This window comes from Homo sapiens, chromosome 19 (genome assembly GCF_000001405.40).
Source record: "Homo sapiens chromosome 19, GRCh38.p14 Primary Assembly".
NCBI lineage: Eukaryota > Metazoa > Chordata > Mammalia > Primates > Hominidae > Homo > Homo sapiens.
The window spans coordinates 8,525,714-8,547,699 of NC_000019.10; the positions used below are offsets into that span (position 1 = coordinate 8,525,714).

Genomic DNA, 21,986 nt, shown 5'->3' on the forward strand with positions numbered 1-21,986 from the left:
CCACTAATTGGCCTCGCCCCCCAAGGGCCCAACACCTCACTGGCCTTGCTCTTTGGGCCCGCCCACTTTAGGTCACTCCTTCATCACTACCCAGTTCCAGGGTTGCCGCTCTGGCCGCACCCCTCTACATTTCTCGCCCCCGCATTGGTCATGTCTTCTCCTTAACAGTCTTTCTCTCTCTCTAGACCCGCCCCTTCCTTGCTGTTGCCCTCTCTGGTCCAGCCTGCTGGCCCCGCCCCACTATTTTGATTGGTTTCCTCCATGGCCACGTCCCTCCTCCACATTTCACGCCCACTAATTGGTTGCGGCCTTTGTTTAAAAGTCTGTCTCTCTGGCCGGGCGCAGTGGCTCACGCCTGTAATCCCAGCACTTTGGGAGGCCGAGGCGGGTGGAGCATGAGGTAATGAGTTCAAGACCAGCCTGGCCAAGATGGTGAAACCCCGTCTCTACTAAAACTACAAAAATTAGCTGGGCGCGGTGGCAGGCGCCTGTAATCCCAGCTACTCGGGAGGCTGAGGCAAGACAATCGCTTGAACCCGGGTGGCGGAGGTTGCGGTGAGCCAAGATCGTGCCACAACACTCCAGCCTGGGCGACAGAGTGAGACTCCGTCTTAAAAAAACCACAAAACTCAAAAGTCTCTCTCTCTCTCTCTGTAGACACTCCCCTTCCTGGCCTTCGTCCACTCTTAACCAGCCTCGCTGGCCCCGCCCCCTCTGCCCTAGTTCCGCGCAGACTCACTGGAGCTCTTGGGCAGCCCATCGCCCACGCTGACCGTGAGGGTCCGACCGCCAACCTTGAGCACTGCCAAGTCGCCGAAGCCGCGGGAGAAGGTGACGCTGCGGGTGCCGCCACCGCCCCAGCCCTCCTTCTTCACCCGAAACTGTAGTCTATGGGGAGAGAAGAAAGCTTGGGGGCGCTGGCTGAGGTCCCCCGCCCCACCCAACTCTCGCTGGTTGGGGCAGGGGCGGGGCCGCGGCCGGGGCCGAAGCGCAGTTCGGCCGGGTCGGTGGGGCGGGAGAGGGTGCGCCGCGCCGAGACCACCCCGAGATGGTGCTGGGGTTGGCGGGGCCGTACGTGTCGCTGAAGGTGAGGGGCAGGGGCCTCCGCGTCGCCTCCTCGAAGCGCTTGCACAGAAGGCTGACAAACTCGGTCTTGAAGACGCTCTCCAGGAAGCTGTCGGCGGCATCCTCTTGGAGGATGAAGAAGTCGTCCTGTCGCGTGCTGGGGAGGGGCGGGTGAGAGCGTCAGGTGGGACACAGGTGAGGGCGACAGGTGAGAGAGACAGATGAAGGTGGCTGAAGGTGGATTTAGGGAAGGGTCAGCTAAGGGCCAAGTCAGCGGTGACCAGGTAGGAGAAAAAGGGGGATGTGGCAAGGAGTGGAAGAGGTGGTTACAGAAGAGGGCCAGGTGAGGTCTAGTAAGAGGGTAAGGTGCAGGACGGAAGGATTTGGCATCTAAGGATCATGAGCATAGGGGGCAGGTGAACATGACAGGTGGGGCCAACAGAGGGCTACAGGCATGGCACCAGGTAAGATTGTCAGGGTAACAGACGGGGTCACTAGAATGAGGGCAGCCAGGGGACAGGTGAGAGTGACTGTGCGGCAGGTAAGGACCTGGCTTCACCTGAGGGAGACTCCCCGCAGAGCCTGGATGTCCACTTTCTTCTTCAAGACTTCACACACCTGGCCCTTCTCAGGTCCCTTCTTCACTTTCTCTCGCCCAATCACATACACACACTTGGGCGTCAGGATCAAGTCCCGCTTGATGGGCTGTGGGGATGCAGGATTAGAGGCTGATGCCTGTAGCCTGGCCAGCCTGGCCACAGAGGATCCACCCCAGGCAGAGGGGTGGTGCTGGCAGGTCAGGTGAGGAAGGTGGGAGCCCTCCAGGTGAAGGTGTATGAGTCGTCTGTTTTGTAGACAGGGTCTCACTCTGTCGCTCAGGCTGGAGTGCAGTGGTGCCATCATAGCTCACTGCAACCTCCCCCTCCTGGGCTTGAGTGATCCACCTGCCTCAGCCTCCTGAGTAGCTGGGACCACAGGTGCGCACCACCATGCCCAGCTAATTTTGGTATTTTTTGTAGATTCAGGGTTTTGCCCTGTTGCCCAGGCTGGTCTTGAGCTCCTGATCTCAAGCAAACTGTCCTCCTTGGCCTCCCAAAGGGTTGGGATTACAGGTGTGCGCCACCACGCCTGGCCATGAGTTGTTATATAAGAAACAGAAGGAGGGCTGGGTGCCATGGCTCACGCCTGTAATCCCAGCATTTTGGGAGGCCGAGGCGGGCAGATCATGAGGTCAGGAGTTTGAAACCAGGCTGACCAACATGGTGAAACCCCGTCTCTACTAAAAATACAAAAATTAGCTGGGCGAGGTGGTGGGCACCTGTAGTCCCAGCTACTCAGGAGGCTGAGACAGGAGAATCGCTTGAACCCAGGAGGATGAGGTTGCAGTGAGCCGAGATCCTGCCACTGCACTCCAGCCTGGGTGACAGAGCAAGACCCTGTCTCAAAAACAAACAAACAAAAAATAACAGATCAGGCGCGGTGGCACACGCCTGTAATCCCAGCACTTTGGGAGGCTGAGGTGGGTGGATCACAAGGTCAGAAGATTGAGACCATCCTGGCTAATACCATGAAACCCCATCTCTACTAAAAATACAAAAAACTAGCTGGGCGTGGTGGCACATGCCTGTAGTCCCAGCTACTCGGGAGGCTGAGGCAGGAGAATTGCTTGAGCCTGGGAGGCAGAGGTTGCAGTGAGCCGAGGTTGTGCCACTGCACTCCAGCCTGGGCGACATAACAAGATTCTGACTCAACACACACACACAAAAGAGCAAAACTCTGTCTCAAAAAAACAAAAAAGAAAAACAAAAAAGAAACGAGGTCAGATGGGAATGTGTTGGTTGGTTGGTTGGCTAGAAAAGGGTGTTTGGGTCAGTGAACAGGTGCTGGGTAGGTAAGGCACCTGCTGGACATGGGTTCCCGGGCCAGATGAGAACACTTAGACCAGGTGAAAGTACTTGGGTCATGTGACTGTAGCCAGCTCAGGTAAAGGTATTATGGTTCAGGTGAGGGTGTACAAGTCAGGTAAATAGGAGTATCTGGATCATGAGAGGAAGTGAGCGGGTGTGTATCTGAACTCTATGAGTTTGTACAGGAAGGCAGGTGAGGGTGTACCTGGTAGAAGGGTGAATGTGCAAGCCGGTTGAGCTGGCCTGCGGTCAGAGTTCTCTGGGTCTAGTGGGGATACCTGTCTCAGTGAAAACATTTAAGGTGATGGTATACAGGTCACCTGAGAGGGCATACCTGCCACACAGACCTGTCCAAAGCAGGTGGGTGGATCAGGTGAAGGTACCCAATAATGTGTGTCTGGTATGTGAAGTTGTACAGATCATGTGAGGAGGCACCTGCCACATAAACTTGTCCAAGGTAGGTGAGGGTGTCCAGGCCATATGAGACTATCCATCCAGGTAAAGATGGTATATAGGTGATCTCAGTGTGTACCTGCCACACATAGGCCTCTCTAAGGTGAGGGTAGGGTGAGTTACTGGGCTAGGTGACTCTCTGGGACATGAGATATGGGTCAAGTGAGTGTGTACCTGGCCCGCCCAGGTACAGGTGACGGTAAACAGGCCAAGTCTGGGTGTACCTGTGGACAGGAGAGTCCAGGCTAGGTGATTAGAGTACACGTAGGTTCAGGGCTGTCTGGGGCAGAAGAGGATGTGTCTGTTGGTGGAGGTGCCCAGCTGTCTATGCCAAGCATGAATGCACGGGTCAGGTGATGTATCCCTGTAGAGAGCATGTACCTATGGACTAGGCTGCCTGGGCCAGGTGAGAGTGTACCTGTGGACAGGTGTGTCTGGGCCAGGTGAAGGTATATCTAATTTCCAGGTTGAAGGTAGAGTGTACCTAATGGATGGGTGTGTCTAGGATAGGCAAGGGTGGCCTCGTGGTTGGGGCTTCTAGACAAGGTGAATGAATGTGTGATTGTTGAGAGATGCATCTGGCCAGGTGAGGGTGTATCTGACAGGTGTGTCTGGGCTACAAGTGCATGTTTGATGGACAGCTGTGTCTGCTATACTTGAGTGTATACCTGTGGGCAGGTGTGTCTGTGCCGGGTAATGATGTACCTGTGATGGAACAGATTGATCTAGGCTGGGGGATAGATACCTGTGGGCAGGTGTGCCTGGGCTAGGTGAGGATATACCTGTGATGGAACAGATGGATCTAGGCTGGGGGATAGATACCTATGGACAGGTGTGTCTGTGCCAGGTGAGGGTATACCTGTGATGGAACAGATGGATCTAGGCTGGGGGATCTATGCCTGTGGGCAGGTGCATATGGGCCAGGTGAGGGTGTACCTGTGATGGAACAGATGGATCTAGGCTGGGGGATATCTGGCTGTGGGCAGGTGCATCTGGGCCAGGTGAGGGTGCCAGGCTGTAGTCAGGGTCTTGCTGTGCCCACCCACTAGTGCCTCACCTTGAAGCGGCGGTCGTACTTGGTGACCGAATCGGCGAAGTCCACCCGCTCCCTCTTGCCCAGGAACTGACGCAGCTCGGGCCGCTCCTCCAGCCCCAGGTAGTCCCCGACGAAGTTCCGATTGATGCTGTTGCGCCTCCGCTCCTTCTTGTTCAGCAGGATGTTGGAAGCTGCGGGGACAGAGGGTGGAGGGCAGAGCTCCTGATACAGCTCCTCCAGGTCCTTGTGCCCCCACCCCGCGCCGTTTACCCGAAGCCTCTCACCTTCCTCCCGCATCTCCTCGTACTTCCGGACAGCCACGTGGCGCCGCCAGGCCTTCTGGATGGTTCGGGCAAAGCCATCGAACTTTCGCTCTCGCACCTCCTCCAGGAGGAAAAGCTGGGCGGGGGTCGTGGGGGGCAAGGGTGAGTCCTGGTGTCTCCCCAGGGGCTGCAGTTCCGGGTTTTCCCTGCGCTCACCCTACTCACACGCTTTTGCTCACCCATCCCCACACATGTGCTAATTTTTTTAAGAGGCGGGGTCTTTCTAGTGACACTCGTTCATAAAGAAAAGAAGAAAAAGGGGCCGGGCGCAGTGGCTCACGCCTGTAATCCTAGCACTTCGGGAGGCCGAGGCGGGTGGATCACCTGAGGTCAGGAGTTTGAGACGAGCCTGACCGACATAGTGAAACCCCATCTCTACTAAAAATACAAAAAGAAATTAGCTGGGCATGGTGGTAGATGCCTGTGATCCCAGCTACTCGGGAGCCTGAGGCAGGAGAATCACTTGAACCCGGGAGGCGGAGGTTGCAGTGAGCTGAGATCGCGCCATTGCACTCCAGCCTGGACAACAAGAGTGAAACTCCATCTCAAAAAGACAAAAAACAAAAACAAAAAAAGCTGGTGGCTCATGCCTATAATCCCAGCGCCTTGGGAGGCTGAGGCGGGAAGATCGCCTGAGGTCGGGAGTTTGAGACCAGCCTGATCAACATGGAGAAACCCTGTCTTTACTAAAAACATAAAATTAGCCGGGCATGGTGGCACATGCCTGTAATACCAGCTACTCAGGAGGCTGAGGCAGGAGAATCACTTGAACCTGGGAGTTGGAGGTTGCGGTGAGCTGAGATTGTGCCATTGCACTCCAGCCTGGGCAACAAGAGCAAAACTTCATCTCAAAAAAAGAAAAAAAGAAAAAGACAGGGTCTCGCTCCGTCGCCCAGACTGGAGTGTGGTGGTGCAGTCATAGCTCACTGCAGCTTCAACCTCTTGGGTTCAAGTGATCCTCCCACCTCTGCCTCCTGAGTAGCTGGGACTACAGCTGTGAGCCACCATGCCCAGCTAATTTTGTGGTGATGTGGTCTTGCCATGTTGCCCAGGCTGGAAAAATTTTTATCTTCCTCCAAATGACTGGACCTCCCTGTGCGTCTCTCCCCATGTGGGGTACACACTTCTGCCTTACATGATAACAGTGAGTCACTAGCTTCAGATCACAGCTGTGCCACTTACTACCTGTGTGCTTTTGCAAGAAACGGTATGATGTCACGGTTTCTTACACTGTTACTCGACACTATCCACGAGGTACACTGCCGTGTCAGAGATGGTAGAAATAGGAACCAGTGTGCATCTTGGAAAACCAATAAAATACAGTAAATATGAAAATGTGGCCGGGTGCAGTGGCTCAAGCCTGTAATCCCAGCATTTTGGGAGGCCGAGGTGGGCGGATCACCTGAGGTCAAGAGTTTGAGACCAGCCTGGCCAACATGGTGAAACCCCGTCTCTACTAATAATACAAAAGTTAGCCGGGTGTGGTGGCGCATGCCTGTCATCCCAGCTACTCGGGAGGCTGAGGCAGGAGAATCGCTTGAACTCGGGAGGTGGTGGTTGCAGTGAGCGGAGATTGCGCCACTGCACTCCAGCCTGGGCGACAGAGTGAGACTCAGTCCCCCGACCCCTGAAAAAAGAAAAGAATGAAACTCCATCTCAAAAAAAAAAAGAAAGAAAAAGAAAATCTGATGTGTAGAACTGTGATGTGACTAGCAACCGTGTGGTTGGGCAGTGTACAACCTGCACAGCCATCCGTAGCAGGCCCAGAAAGGAAGCTTTTGCAGAAAGCAGAGAAAAGGGTTTTGAGTTGTAAAAGTCTAGACCCAGAGGGGACTTAGAGAATGAATTACATTACAGCAAGTCAAAGTACAAAGTCTAAGAGGAATGTCTACTCATTTGTAATAACAGCAGGTGAACAAGGTGAGGAACCTACTGGATATTAAAATACTGTAAATCTATAGTAATAAAAACAATAGCATGCCTGTCAGAGAATAGAATGATTAACTGGAATAGGGCAGATGCTTGAGAAACATCCTACTTCAAAGAGAAACTGTGATCAAAGGGACAATATTGTCAATTAGTGAAGATGGGAAATAATGCAAATATAGGCTGGGTGCGGTGGCTCATGCCTCTAATCCCAGCAGTTTGGGAGGCTAAGGTGGGAGCATTGTTGAGCCCAGGAGTTCAAGACCAGCCTGGGCAACATAGAAAGACCCCGTCTCTACAAAAACTAAGCAAAAATTAGCTGAGGGTGATGGCACGCATGTGTAGTCCCAGCTATTCCGGAGGGTGAGGTGGGAGGATTCTTTGAGCCCAGGAGGTTGAGGCTGCAGTGAGCTGTGATTGTGCGACTGCACTCCAGCCTGGGAGATAGAGTGAGATCCTGTCTCAGAAAAAAAAAAAAATACACACACACACACACACACACACACACACACACACACACACACACAATTGGGCTTTATTTAGAAAAATTAGCACTTCACCCAGAGTGCTTTCCCAAGTCCATAGGTAGCACATTGCTGCTAAGAGCCTTGCTCCCTGCTCTGCTGACCAAAATAGTTTTAATTTTTTCAGAGACAGGGTCTTGCTCTGTTTCCCAGGCTGGAGTGCAGTGGTGCGATCTCGGCTCCCGGGCTCAAGGGATCCTCCCACCTCAGCCACTCAAGGCTAATTATGGTATTATTATATATATATTTTTTTGGTAGAGAGGTAGAGTTGGGGTTTTGCCATGTTGTCCAGACTCGTCTGGAACTCCTGGGCTCAAGGAATCTACCAGCCTTGACCTCCCAAAGTGCTGGGATTACAGGCGTGAGCCAGCGTGCCCAGCCTCAGATTCTTCTTCTTCTTCTTCTTCTTCTTTTTTTTTTTTTTTGAGACGGAGTCTTGCTCTGTCGCTCAGGCTGGAGTGCAGTGGTGCGATCTTGGCTCACTGCAAGCTCCGTCTCCTGGGTTCACGCCATTCTCCTGCCTCAGCCTCCCGAGTAGCTGGGACTACAGGCGCCCGCCACCATGCCTGGCTAACTTTTTTGTATTTTTTTAGTAGAGACATAGTTTTGCTGTGTTAGCCAGGGTGGTCTCAATCTCCTGACCTCATGATCCGCCTGCCTCGGCCTCCCAAAGTGCTGGGAATTACAGGCGTGAGCCAGCACGCTTAGCCTCAGATTCTTCTTTAAAACCTTTAGAGAGTATGGCCATGCCAACACCTTGATTTTGGACTTCTGACCTGCGGAACTGTGAGAGAATAAATTGCTGTTGTGTTAAGCCATGGAGTTTGTGGAACTTTGTTTCAGCTGTCCCAGCAGACTATTATAACATACCTGGGATGCTGGGCCACAAAGGCCAACAGGCAGATAAAATGTTTGAGGATGGCCCAAACCATGTTCATAAGAAAATCAAAATAGGGGCCGGGCGCGGTGGCTCATGCATATAATCCCAGCACTTTGGGAGGCTGAGGTGGGCAGATCACTTGAGGTCAGGAGACCAGCCTGGCCAACAGGGTGAAAACCCATCTCTATTAAAAACACAAAAATTAGCCTGGTGTGGTGGCGGGTGCCTGTAATTCCAGCTACTTGGGAGGCTGAGGCAGGAGAATTGCTTGAACCAGGAAGGTGGAGGTTGCAGTGAGCCAAGATTGCGCCATTCCACTTTAGCCTGGGTGACAGAGCGAGACTCTGTCTAAAAAAAAAAAAAAAAATTCATCCCAACATGAATGCATTTTTGGTTGAGAAAGGCTCCAACTCCATTAAGCTAATTTAATTTCTTGATTACTTTTTAAATATAGCACAGTTAAACCGTTGGCTATTTTTCTTTTCTTTTCTTTTCTTTTTTTCAGAGTCTCACTTTGTCCCCCAGGCTGGAGTGCAGTGGCGCAATCTCAGCTCACTGCAACCTCTGCCTCCCAGGTTCGAGCAATTCTCCTGCCTCAGCCTCCCAGGTAGCTGGGATTACAGGCACGTGTCACCATGCCCGGCTTATTTTGTATTTTTAGTAGAGATGGGGTTTCCCCATGTTGGCCAGGCTGGTCTCGAACTCCTAACCTCAAGTGATCCACCACCCTGGCCTCCCAAAGTGCTGGGATTACAGTTGTGAGCCACCGTGCCTGGCCTTTTCTTCTATTTTCATTTTACTAATTTTTTTTTTTTTGAGATGGAGTCTCACTCTGTTGCCCAGGCTAGAGTGCAGTGGTGCGATCTCGGCTCACTGCAACCTCTGCCTCCTGGGTTTGAGTGATTCTCCTGCCTCAGCCTCCTGAGTAGCTGGGATTACAGGTGCGCACCACCACACTTGGCTAATTTTTTGTATTTGTAGAAGAGACGGGGTTTCACCATGTTGGTCGGGCTGGTCTTGAACTCCTGACCTCGTGATCCACTCGCCTCGGCTTCCCAAAGTGTTGAGATTATAGGCGTGAGCCACTGCACCCAGCTTATTTTACTAAAATTAAATTACTGTTGCCCAGGCTTGAGTGCAGTGGCACGATCTTGGCTCACTTCAGCCTCTGCCTCCTGGGTTAAAGTGATTTTCCTGCCTCAGCCTCCTGAGTAGCTGGTATTACAGGTGTGCACCACCACGCCCAGCTAATTTTTGTACTTTTAATAGAGAAGGGGTTTCACCATGTTGGCCAGGCTGGTCTCAAACTCCTGACCTCAAGTGATCCATCCACCTCAGCCTCCCAAATTGCTGAGATTACAGGTGTGAGCCAGTGCGCCTGGCCAGCAAGATTATTTTCATCAGGATTATTTTCTTTCTTTTATAAATATTCAGTCTGTCTTTGTTGTTGATGTTCTTATAGGATTTTACCACTAAGCATCTGCCATCGTGAATTTCATTATTTCTACCCCGTCCGTCTTCTCCAAATCAAAATCTATAGACTGAAATTTTTGTCTAAATTAAATTTTACTTTATATAGTCTTTGCTGGTGATAGTTATTTTTCTTTTTTCTTTTTGTCTTTTGTAGAGACAGGGTCTCACTATGTTTCCCAGGCTGGTCTCGAACTCCTGGCTTCAAACCATCCTCCTGCCTCAGCCTCCCAAAGCACTGATATTACAGGCATGCGCTACCACACCTGACTTGGTGCTAGTTTTATTTTGCCTTTTTTCTGTTCTATGTCAAAATTTTTGGTCTATTTCTTCCAGAGTGTCTCTCTCAATCTCTCTCTCTCAATCTCTCAATCACATTCTTTCTTTCTTTTTTTTTTTTGAGACGGAGTCTCGCTCTGTCGCCCAGGCTGGAGTGCAGTGGCGTGATCTCGGCTCACTGCAACCTCTGCCTCCTGGGTTCAAGCCATTCTTCTGCCTCAGCCTCCTGAGTAGCTGGGACCACAGGTGCCCGCCACCATGCCCGGCTAATTTTTTTTGTATTTTTAGTAGAGACGCGGTTTCACTGTGTTAGCCAGGATGGTCTCGATCTCCTGGCCTTGTGATCCGCCCTCCTCAGCCTCCCAAAGTGCTGGGATTACAGGCATGAGCCACCGCGCCCGGCAGTCGCAGTCTTTCTTAATCTCTCGCTCAGTCTCTCTCAGTCTCTTACTTTCAGTCTATTAATCTCTCACTTGCTTTCTCAATTTCTCTCTCAACCTCTATCTCAGTTTCTCTGTCAATCCCTCTCTCTCAATCTGTTTCTCAATTTCTCAATCTATCAGTCTTTCTCTCAATCTCTGTCTCCCTCTGTCTCTCTCTCTCTCTCTCAGTCCCTCTCTATACCTTTCTCTCTCTTCCCCTCTCCTTCTCTGCCTGTCCCTCAAACACACTCACCGACTCTGGGTTCTTGACAAAGACCTTGGTGCTCCCCATCTGGTACTGGTCGGGCTCCATGTTGACCGCCCGAAGCAGGTGCTGGACGCCCTGGCGTTCGTCCCCACGCCACCGCGGCCACGTCTCGGGGGTCAGAATGGCATACCTGAGGGCGGAGGGCTGGGGTGTGGGAGTGCTCATAGCAGACAGGCCTGGCTGGGCGTTCTGATGAAGGGGATGGCGAGGGCGGGGGTGGAGGGCTCCTCACCTCTGCAGGAATTTGGCGAACTGGCGGCGGTAGGCGAAGCCGGCTCTGCGCACCCTGATGTTCTCCTTCAGGCCCAGGTATTCCACCTGGTGCTTGACTCTGGTGGGGAGGGTAGGCTGAGTCCCCTCGGGGTGGGGAGTCACCAGTCCTGGGGGTGGGTGGGAGGTGCTGGAGGTGGGGGACCTGGGGGGATCTGGATTCATGCTGAGGGAAGTTTGGGGGGTGAGTTCTGTGGTCTGGGGGGGCTTCGGGGGTCAGCCTGGGGACTGGGGGGAGGGATCTTGTCCTGATGGTCCCTTCTGGGGTCAGTTCTGCAGGTGGGGGATTGTGGGAGGGGCTGTGCTAGTCCCTGGGTCATCCTACAGGAGGTCAGGGAGGTGTCTCGGTCAGTTCTAGGGGTAACTGCAGGGCCTGGGGGGAATGAATCTTGGATTGGTTGGGGGGGATCACCTGTTCTCCTCCCAGTCTCGGGGCCTCTTGGTCTCGTTGGGTTTGATGCAGCGGATGTAGTGGGGTGTGCACCTCATCAGTGTGGCCACCAGGTCGTTGGCTTGTTTCTGAGGCAGAAGTGAAGACGGGTGGGTGGGGGGCACAGAGATGGGACCCTCTGGCCCCTCTTTTTTCCACCCTGGATACAGTCCCAATAGACAGAGACTGGGGGTGGGTGAGGGCTGGTAACAGATAAGCCACAGGGGCCAGATGTCCCTGGTCTGTGTGCACCTCCACTAGTGCACACCACACTAGTGGGACTGATGTGGGGTGTCTGCCTGACCCTGGAACCCAAGACAAGGAGCTCTCACGTCTACCGCACTCACCACTTACCTTGGCACATAGTAAGTGCTCAGTAAATGTTTGTTGACTGAGTAACAGAGCCCTTATGAGAGCATTTCTTTTTGTCCTTTGGGGAGATAGGTACCTTGGGTGTTTGTTTTTTTTGTTTTGTTCTGTTTTATTTTGTTTTGAGATGGAATTTTGCTCTGTCACCCAGGCTGGAGCGCAATGGTGCCATCTTGGCTCACTGCAACCTCCACCACCTGGATCCAAGAGATCCTTCTGCCTCAGCCTCCCAAGTAGCTGGGATTACAGGCATGTGCCACCACACCCGGATAATTTTTAGTAGAGACAGGGTTTTGCCATGTTGGTCAGGCTGGTCATGAACTCCTGACCTCAGGTGATCCATCCACCTCTGGCTCCCAAGGTGTTGGGATTACAGGCATGAGCCACTATACCTGGCTGGGTGATTTTTTTTGAGACAGGGTCTCCCTCTGTCACTCAGGCTGGGGTATAGTGGCGCCGTGATAGTTCACTGTAGCCTCAGCCTCCTGTGCTCAAGCGATCAACTGCCTTAGCCTCCGGAGTAGCTAGGATTACAGGTCTGAGCCACTGTGCCTGGCTAAGACATGTACTTTGGAGGTAGGGAAACTGTGTGTATGCCTGAGAGGTTTGCCTTGGGTTTTGCATTTTGTTTTATTTTTATTTTTATTTTTATTTGGAGACAAAATCTCGCTCTGTTGCCAGGCTGGAGTGCAGTGGCATGATCTCGGCTCACTGCAACCTCCGTCTCCCAGGTTCAAGTGATTCTCCCACCTCAGCCTTCCGAGTAGCTGCCACCACACCCAGCTCCTTTTTTTTTATATATATATTTTTAGTAGAGACGGGGTTTCACCATGTTGGCTGGGCTGGTCTTCAACTCCTGACCTCAGGTGATCCACCTGCCTCAGCCTCCCAAAGTCCTGGGATTACAGGCTTGAGCCACTGTGCCTGGCTTGCATTTTTATTTTATTTTATTTTAGTATTTATTTATTAATTTATCTGAGACAGGGTCTTGCTCTGTCATCCAGGCTGGAGTGCAGTGGCTCTTGGCTCACTGCAACCTCCATCTCCCAAGTTCAAGCAATTCTCCTGCCTCAGCCTCCTGAGTAGCTGGGATTACAGGCATATGCTGGCTAAATTTTGTATTTTTAGTAGAGATGGGCTTTCACCATGTTGGCCAGGCTGGTCTTGAAATCCTGACTTCAAGTGATCTGCCCGATTCAGCCTCTGAAAGTGCTGGGATTACAGGTGTGAGCCATTGCTCCCGGTCTGATTTTTTTTTTTTTTTTTTTTAAGAGACAGGGTCTCACTCTGTTCCCAGGCTAAAGTGCCAGGGTGCAATCATGGTTCACTGCAGCCTCGACCTCCTGGGCTCAAATGATCCTCCTGCCTCAGCCTCCCAAGTAGCTGGGACCACAGGTGTGCACTACTATGCTTGGCTAATTTTTAATTTATTTTTTATAGAGACGGGGTCTTGTTTTGTTGCCCAGACTAGATTTGTTGTCACATTCATAGCAACAGAATGGTGAGTGCCAGGGACTTGGAAAGCAGATAGGCAGTGTTTCCTGGGGACACAGTTTCAGTTTGGGAAGATGAGAAAGTTCTGGAGATGGGTAGTGGTGATGGTTGCACAACCATATGAATGCACTTAATACCACTGAACATTAAAACTGGTTAAAATATTATTAGATAGGCTGGGTACAGTGGCTCACGCCTGTAATCCCAGCACTTTGGGAGGCTGAGGTGGGCGGATCACCTGGGGTCAGGAGACCAGCCTGGCCCACATGGTGAAACCCCATCTCTACTGAAAATACAAAATTAGGCCGAGCGCGGTGGCTCACACCTGTAATCCCAGCGCTTTGGGAGGCTGAGGCAGGCGGATCACCTGAGGTCGGGAGTTCGAGAATAGCCTGGCCAACATGGTGAAACCCTGTCTCTACTGAAAATACAAAATTAGCCGGGCATGGTGGTGCATGCCTGTAATCCCAGCTACTTGGGAGGCTGAGGCAGGAGAATCACTTGAACCCAAGAGGCAGAGGTTGTGGTGAGCCGAGATCACGCCATTGCACTCCAGCCTAGGCAACAAGAGTGAAACTCCATCTCAAAAAAAAAACCAAACCAACAAAAAAACAAAATTAGCTGGGTGTGGTGGCGCATGCTTGTAATCCCAGCTACTTAGGAGGCTGAGGCAGAAGAATCACTTGAACCCAGGAGGCGGAGGTTGCAGAGGGCCCAGATTGTGCCACTGCACTCCATCCTGGGTGACAGAGCAAGACTCTGTCTCAAAAAAAAAAATTATTGGATATTATTAAGATGATAAATTTTATGTCATGTATATTTTACCACAAATTTAAAAAATGGTAAATGACTAAAGACCAAACAAAAATGTATTAGAATAATGGTCTACTTCTGCATTGAAGGAGTTGATGGAGACCTCCAAGAAGCTGGTTCAAGCTCCCTAAACCCAGAGCTGGAGGAAGACCCTGCTGAACAGATGACGTCACAGTCAGAGGCAGAAGCCCCAGGATTGGTAGACAGACAGACGTTGGAATGAGAGAAACAGAGTCCGGACCCCAGGTAGGGTGGAACTCAGCCCTCTGCAGGCCCAGCTCCCCGTTGTACACCCCAGGCCCACCTTGATCTTGGAGCCGGCGGTGCTGGGGCGCCCCTTCTTGTCTCCATCCAGCTTCTCGGGGAAGAGCATCCGGAGGAAGGCCCTGGGTAGGAAAGGGGAGAGGAGGAGTTGGAGGTATGGCTAGACTTTCGGGTACTCTTCCTCCAGGGGTGGGGCAGCCTCAATGCCGCAACGCAAAATATGGTTCTCTCAATGTGGAGGGGAGCTGTGATGGGTGAGATGCAGAGGGTTGGTTTTTTGGTTTGTTTTTTGAGGCAGGGCCTCGCTTTGTCCTCCAGGTTGGGGCGCATTGGTGCGATGATAGGAACTGCAGCCTGGAACTCCTGGGCTCAAGCCAATGTGTGAATGTATTGAATGCCACTGAATTGTACATTTCATTTCATTTTATCTTATTTTATTTATTTATTTATTTCCTTTATTTTTTCTTTGTCACAAAAAGGGAACAACACGGATAAATTGTACATTTTAAAATGGTTAATAAGGCCGGGTGCGGTGGTGCATGCCTGTAATCCCAGCACTTTGGGAGGCTGAGGCAGGTGGATCACCTGAAGTCAGGAGTTTGAGACAAGCCTGACCAACATGGTGAAACCCTGTCTCTACTAAAAATACAAAAATTAGCGGGGCATGATGGTGGGCGTCTATAATCCCAGCTACTCGGGAGGCTGAGGCAGGAGAATCGCTTGAACCCAGGAGGTGGAGGTTGCAGTGAGCCGAGATCGTGCCACTGCACTCCAGCCTGGGCGGCAGGGTGAGAGACACTGTCTCCAAAAAAAAAAAAAAAAAATCGGATTGTGGTGATGGTTGCGCAATTCTGTGAATTTGCTAAACGTCATGGATTGAGACACTGCTTAAAGTGGGTGGATTTAATGGTAAGTGCTGCTGAAACCCTTACGTGCACATGGATCCCTGGGAGGCATGGGTGCATCCTGGCTTAAAGATCAGGTTAGGTTCCGATAGTTCTAAACCTGATTGTTCAGATTCTGATAGTTCAGAATCAGATGCAGATTCTGATTCTGGAGGTCTGGGGTGGAGTTTGAGGTTCTGCCTTTTTTTTCCCCTCAGAGATAAGGTCTGTTGCCAAGGCTGGAGTGCAGTGGTGCAATCACGGCTCACTGTAGCCTCCACCTCCTAGGCTCAAGTGATCCTTCTATCTCAGCCTCCCGAGTAGCTGGGACTATAGGCATGTGCCACCACACCCAGCTAATTAATTAATTATTATTATTTTTGCTGGCAGAGTAGACAAGCATTTAAAAAAAAGAATTTTTTTTTAAGAGACAGGGGTCTTGCTATGTTGCCCAGGCTGGTCTTAAACTTGGGACCTCCAGTGATCCTTCTGGCTAGGGAGATTCTGCACTGGAAACAAGGCCCAAGGATGCTCAGGTTGCTGGTCTAAGAACCACATGTCAAACACTTTAAGGATCCCCGTCTTATTACTTTACATCTAATGCTATGTTCTTTGTGTGTGTGTGTGTGTGTGTGTTTTTTTTTTTTTTTTTTTTTGAGACAGAATCTCCCTCTGTCGCCCAGGCTGGAGTGCAGTGGCACAATCTTGGCTCATTGCAACCTCTGCCTCCTGGGTTCAAGAGATTCTTATGCTTCCACCTCCTGAGTAGCTGGAATTACAGGTGCGCGCCACCACGCCTAGGTAATTTTTATAATTTTAGTAGAGACAAGGTTTTGCCATGTTGCCCAGGCTGGTCTCAAACTCTTGGCCTCAAGAGATTTGTCCACTTCGGCCTCCCAAAGTGCTGGGATTACAGGCGTGAGCCACTGCGCCCGGCCTCTGGAGTTACTTTTTACATCAGAACTAGTCCATAGAAACACCATCCTGGCCGCACAGCCACTCCCCTCGAGTTTGTGGCGAGATGGCAGTTCTGGGTAAGATGGAGTGGGGCCCGGTCCTCCCTCCATCCCCTTGGGGGGTTGTAGCCGGAGGTCCCCATGCCTGGGACCACTCACTGCTCACTGGTCTGCATCAGCTCTATGAGGTCGGAGAAGAGAACGTCTCGGTTCCTCTCGCAGAAGCCGCTGACGTCGTAGGAGACCTGGAGGGGACAGTGCTGAGGACAGTGAGGGACTGAGAAACCTGGCTGGGAGGGTGGGCGTGGGGTGCTTACAGCCCAGGTGGTCAAGGCTTTCCTGGGGCCTGCTGTGGGGTGAGAGGATCAGGCAGTGTCTACAGCGCTGGCTGGGGGGTATCTACAGTTCAGAATAGGGGATGGGGGGCGGGCTTCCTGGAGAGCTGATGTTCAAGTTGAGGTTAGAGGATCGTGGCTGTATCCCAGGTCAGAGGTAAGGGGAGGTGGGGGTTACAACCTAGATGAGCCAGGAGAGAGCTGCAGCTTGCATCAGAGGCCGGGGGGCGGTGAAAGTTATAGCTCAGATTGGTGGGTGGGGGGCTGCAGCCTGGCGGGGGGGTCCCTGGGAGTCAGAGGTCAGATTGGATATCTGTGACCTGGTCAATCAGGGGCCAGTGCAGGGGGCCTGTGTCAGGAGGGTAACAGCCCTGTCTCAGGGATCTCTGGGGGCATTTCAGCCAGGGTTGGGGGCTGGAGCTGCTACCAAAGGTTAGGGCCCTCTGTAGTTCTGAGCAGGGCTTTTGCAACCCTGGCTGAGGGAACATGGGAGCTCCAGCCGTTTTTGTTTTTGTTTGTTTGCTTTTTTTTTTTTTTGAGAAAGAGTCTTGCTCTATCACCCAGGCTGGAGTGCAATGACACGATCTCAGCTCACTGCAACCTCCGCCTTCCGGGATCAAGTGATTCTCCTGTCTCAGCCTCCCGATGAGCTGGGATTACAGGCGTGTGCCACCACACCTGGCTGATTTTTTTTTTTATTTTTAATAGAGACGGGGTTTCAATATGTTAGCCAGGATGGTCTCGATCTCCTGACCTTGTGATCCGCCCGCCTCAGCCTCCCAAAGTGCTGGGATTATAGGCGTGAGCCACTGCACCCGGCCCTGTTTGCTTTTGTTTTGTGAGATGGAGTCTTGCTCTGTTGCTCAGGCTGGAGTGCTGTGGCACAATCTTGGCTTACTGCAACCTCCACCTCTTGGATTCAAGTGATTCTCCTGCCTCAGCCTCCTGAGTAGCTGGGATTACAGGTGCCCACGACCACGCCCGGCTGATTTTTGTATTTTTAGTAGAGACTGGGTTTCACCATGTTGGCCAGGCTGGTCTTGAACTCCTGACCTCAGGTGATCCACCCGCCTCAGCCTCCCAAAGTGCTGGGATTACAGGCGTGAGCCACCACTCCCAGCCTCTCCAGCCCATTTTAGGGGCACTCCTAGGAACTTCTGCTCTCATGTTGTGAGATCCTTGGATCACTGCCTGAGAGTGTAGTCCTGTCTTTTGGGGAGTGGGGCTGCGGGCATGGTTAGAGTCCAGTGGATTTCTGTAGCCTTCGGTAGGGGTCTGTAGGAGGCTTCAGCACATTTTGAAGGCTGGTGGCTCACAGGAGGGGCCTGGGGGCTTTGGGGATTTCCTCTCCAAATTGGGATCAGAAGGTGGGGGGCTGTGTCCTAGTCAGGGGGTTATGACTCACATTGGGGCTTATCTGAACATAGGCAGTCTGGTACCCAAGCTGGTGTTAATCGGGGGGAATTCTGTTCCCTCTGTTAGGGGAGTTGATGTGTAAGGGAAGCTGTGGCCTGGATCAGAGGTCAGGGTTTCTGCAGCCCTGGCCCAGGGAACACGGTGGTGGTGGTGGTGCTGGTGGTGGTGGTGGTGGTGCTGGTGGTGGTGGTGGTGGTGGTGGTGGTGGTGCTGGTGGTGGTGGTGGTGCTGGTGGTGCTGGTGGTGCTGGTGGTGGTGGTGGTGGTGGTGCTGGTGGTGCTGGTGGTGCTGGTGGTGGTGGTGCTGGTGGTGCTGGTGGTGGTGGTGGTGGTGGTGGTGGTGGTGGTGGTGGTGGTGGTGCTGGTGGTGCTGGTGGTGCTGGTGGTGGTGGTGGTGGTGCTGGTGGTGGTGGTGGTGGTGGTGGTGGTGGTGGTGGTGGTGCTGGTGGTGCTGGTGGTGGTGGTGGTGGTGGTGCTGGTGCTGGTGCTGGTGGTGGTGCTGGTGGTGGCGGTGGCGGTGGCGGTGGCGGTGGCGGTGGCGGTGCTGGTGGTGGTGGTGGTGGTGGTGGTGGTGTCCAGACAAGTTTGGGGCTTAGAGAGTTCCTGGGGGGTCAGCCGGAAGGGTCTGTAGTTCTGGTTAGTAGGGGGTGGATTGAGGCGGGGGACAGTGGAATTCTACAGCCCTGGATAAGGGTCCTAGCAGGCTCTTTCCAGCCTGGGTGCTGGAGGGTGGGGGCTACAGCCTGGAGCCCTGGGGGTCTGCGAGGAGGCACAGGGTAGGGTAGGGGCAGGGGGCGCACCTTGCCAGCGTAGTGGTGGATGACGAAGCCGGCGCTCCAGCTGTTGAAATGCTCGTGGGTCCCCACAGCCGCCTGCAGCTTCTGCAGCAGTGTCTGGTCTGCTCCCCCGCCCGTGGCGTGCATGGTGGCGCACACGTCGTCCAAGACGCTCATGATGCCTGGGGGGCTCTGCGGGGCGAGCGGGAGCCAGCAGCGGCTCAGTTTGGTCTGCCTTGCCTCCCCACAGCTCGTCAGTGCAGAGATTAGGGGAGGGAGGGGGTGGAGGAGTGGAGGGAGCTAGAGCTTTGGGGGTGGGGAGGGCACCAGGGGCTTCAAATACAAGCACAAAAGGCGTTGCAGGGGTCAGGGATGGAAGGGATAGGGGGGCAAGGGTGTGTGGGGCTACTGTGGAAGCTCGCTGAGGTGCAGAAGTGGGTGGGGACCCCTCAAGAGATTCAGGCCCCAGACTAGAATCCCTTGGTAGGGGGACCTGCCTTATGTATTTATTTATTTATTTAGAGACGGAGTCTTGCTCTCTTGCCCAGGCTGGAGAGCAGTGGCGTGATCTCAGCTCACTGCAGCCTCCATCTCCCAGGTTCGAGTGATTCTCCTGCTTCAGCCTCCTGAGTAGCTGGGATTACAGGCATGCCGCCACCATGCCCGGCTAATTTTTGTATTTTTTAGTAGAGATGGGGTTTCACCATGTTGGCCAGGCTGGTTTCGAACTCTTGGCCTCAGGTGATCCACCTGCCTTGGCCTCCCAAAGTGCTGGGATTACAGGCATGAGCCACCATGTCCCGCCTAAATACGTCTTAAATTTAATTTTTTTTGAGACAGGGTCTTGTTCTGTTCCTCAGGCTGGAGTGTGGTGGTGCAATCATAGCTCACTGCACCCTTGACTTCCTGGGCTCAAGTGATCCTCCCACCTCAGCCTTCCGGGTAGCTGGGATTACAGGCGCCTGCCACCACGCCTGGCTAATTTTTTGTATTTTTAGTAGAGACAGGTTTTCACCATATTGGTCAGGCTGGTCTCGAACTCCTGACCTCAGGTGATCCGCCCACCTTGGCCTCCCAAAGTGCTGGGATTACAGGCGTGAGCCACCGGCATGGAATCTGCAAATTTGACTCTAACTGTGAGCTGGGGTTCCCGGGGAAATGTTTATTGAATGATTAAGTGAAAGGTGGACAAGTAGGCGGAATGAATGGATGAGGGGCGGAAGGGACATTTTGGTTGTTATCTGTCGCTGGAAGTCCTGAGTGTAGGGTAGAGAAGGGCCTGAGGATGCCATAACACCCTTGGCCCTCCCCCTCATCTTCCAGACTCAGCTCAGGGGACCAGTGAGACGCCCCCGCCAAAGTTGACCCAGCCCTCACCAGCTTGTTTTCGATGAGGTCACAGACGACCTTGTTGTTGAAGTACTGGATTGGAGTCCAGCGGATGCCTTCCTGCACATACTCCTCCTGGGGTGGAAAAGGGGGTGGATGTGGGGGCCAGTGAAAAAGTTGTGGCCACCCTTCCCCCCATGTCCTCTCCCCTTCTCCATCTCATCACTTAGGACTGTCTCTGGTAACAAAGCCCGTCACTCCTATGTGGGCAAGGCTGGAAGTGCCAGGGAATTACATCTGGTTTCAGCAGTCCTTGACCAATAATCAACAGGAGTGGGTGGATAAATACCCCAGCTCCCTCGCTTCTCCGCTCTATGAAGCCTCCTCGAGTCCCAGTGCAGTTGCATTCCGGTTGTCCACAGCATAACGTGCTCATTAACACACTATTTTGACTCTTTTTTTTTTTTTTTTTTTTTTTTTGAGATGGAGTTTCACTCCTGTTGCCTAGGCTGGAGTGCAATGGCACGATCTTGGCTCATCGCAACCTCCGCCTCCCGAGTTCAAGCGATTCTCCTGCCTCAGCCTCCCGAGAAGCTGGGATTACAGGTATGTGCCACCACGCCGGACTAATTTTGTATTTTTAGTAGAGATGGGGTTTCTCCATGTTGGTCAGGCTGGTCTCGAACTCCCAACCTCAGGACATCTGCCCACCTCGGCCTCCCAAAGTGCTGGGATTACAGGCATGAGCCACCGCACACAGCTTGCTTTTTTTTTTTGAGACCGGGTTTTGCTCTGTTACCCAGGCTGGAACTCAGCGATGCGATCCTAGCTCACTGCAACCTTGACCTCCAGGGTTCAAGTGATCCTCTCATCTCAGCCTTCCGAGTAGCTGGGACCGTAGGAGCACACCACCATGCCTGGCTAATTTTTATGTTTTTTGTAGAGATGAGGTCTCACTATGTTGTCCAGGCTGGCTTTGAACCCCCAGGCTCAAGCGATCCTCTTAACTTAGCCTCCTAGATAGCTGGGACTATAGGTGTGAGTGATTGTGTCTGGCTCGGTCTGTCTCTCTCTTTTTTTCTTTTCTTTTTTGAGACAGGGTCTCATTCTGCTGTTGCCCAGGCTGGAGTGCAATGGCACAATCTCGACTCACTACAAGCTCTGCCTCCTGGGTTCAAGCAATTCTCCTGCCTCAGACTCCTGAGTAGCTGGGATTACAGGTGCCCAGCACCACACCTGGCTAAGTTTTATATTTTTAGTAGAGATGGGGTTTCACCATGTTGGCCAGGCTGGTCTCAAACTCCTGACCTCAGGTGATCCACCCACCTCAGCCTCCCAAAGTGCTGGGATTACAGGCGTGAGCCACTGCACCCAGCCTCTCTCTCTCTCTTTGTTAAAAAAATCCCTGTCTCAGGACTGGGCATATTAACTCATGCCTGTAGTCCCAGCACTTTGGCAGGCCAAGGCAGGAGGATTGCTTGAGGCCAGGAGTTCAAGACCAATCTGGGCAACAAAGTGAAACACCAACTCTACAAAAAAGTTTTAAAATATTAGCCAGGCATGATGGTGTGTGCCTGCGGTCCCAGCTACTTGAGAGGCTGAAGTGGGAGGATTGCTTGAGCCCAGGAGGTGTAGACTGCAGTGACCTGTGATCACACCACTGCACTCCAGCCTGGACAACAGAGCGAGTTCCTGTCTCAAAAAAAAAAAAAAAAAAAAAAAAGCGGGGAATGGTGGCTCCCATCTGTAATCCCAGCACTTTGGGAGGCTGAGGTGGGTGGATCACGAGGTCAGGAGTTTGAGACCAGTCTGGCCAATATGATGAAACCCTGTCTCTACTAAAAATACAAAAATTAGCTGGGCATGGTGGTGGGTGCCTGTAGTCCCAGCTGCTCGGGAGGCTGAGGCAGGAGAATCACTTGAACTCTGGAGGCGGAGGTTGCAGTGAGCCGAGATCATGCCACTGCACTCCAGCCTGGGTGACAGAACGAGACTTTGTCTCAAAAAAAAAAAAAAAAATCCCTGACTTACTTCCTCAGTCTCCTCTTGGAGCTTCCTGGGATTGCCTCCCAGAAAAACCATTTGTCTCTGAATCCTT

General features: G+C 52.5%; 1 protein-coding gene and 1 long non-coding RNA gene across 16 annotated transcripts in view, besides 1 other annotated feature; one reads left to right on the plus strand and one right to left on the minus strand.

Annotated features, from left to right (window-relative positions):
* Positions 1-21,986, minus strand: part of MYO1F (myosin IF) — a 56,665-nt gene that overhangs the window by 4,936 nt on the left and 29,743 nt on the right. For 3 of the 14 annotated variants that reach the window (NM_001348355.2, NM_012335.4, NM_001440612.1), the window contains exons 13-24: positions 19,937-20,023; positions 18,584-18,751; positions 16,193-16,278; positions 14,234-14,315; positions 11,236-11,342; positions 10,786-10,884; positions 10,539-10,683; positions 4,746-4,860; positions 4,483-4,652; positions 1,625-1,770; positions 1,076-1,222; positions 740-888 (exon numbers count right to left, since the gene is read on the minus strand). In NM_001348355.2, the coding sequence (NP_001335284.1) occupies positions 740-888; positions 1,076-1,222; positions 1,625-1,770; positions 4,483-4,652; positions 4,746-4,860; positions 10,539-10,683; positions 10,786-10,884; positions 11,236-11,342; positions 14,234-14,315; positions 16,193-16,278; positions 18,584-18,751; positions 19,937-20,023 (1,501 nt within the window). Of the gene's footprint in view, positions 1-739; positions 889-1,075; positions 1,223-1,624; positions 1,771-4,482; positions 4,653-4,745; positions 4,861-10,538; positions 10,714-10,785; positions 10,934-11,235; positions 11,343-14,233; positions 14,316-16,192; positions 16,294-18,583; positions 18,752-19,936; positions 20,024-21,986 lie in introns of those variants that run through there. The other 11 variants (NR_199720.1, NR_199722.1, NR_199721.1 and 8 more) reach the window with 11 other exon arrangements.
* Positions 40-1,015: an enhancer, noted in NCBI's record as "H3K27ac hESC enhancer chr19:8590637-8591612 (GRCh37/hg19 assembly coordinates)". NCBI's record gives its function as "activates a minimal SCP1, AML or CMV promoter by ChIP-STARR-seq in naive and primed H9 embryonic stem cells {active_cell/tissue: H9 hESC(naive and primed)}" and the evidence as "EXISTENCE:reporter gene assay evidence [ECO:0000049][PMID:30033119]".
* LOC124904633 (uncharacterized) lies at positions 732-21,612 on the plus strand. 2 transcript variants are annotated; one of them, XR_007067131.1, is made up of 3 exons: positions 732-831; positions 14,019-14,175; positions 20,372-21,612. It is a non-coding gene; the product is annotated as an uncharacterized LOC124904633 (long non-coding RNA). The 2 variants fall into 2 exon arrangements; XR_007067130.1 differs by lacking the exon at positions 20,372-21,612 and adding an exon at positions 19,883-19,961.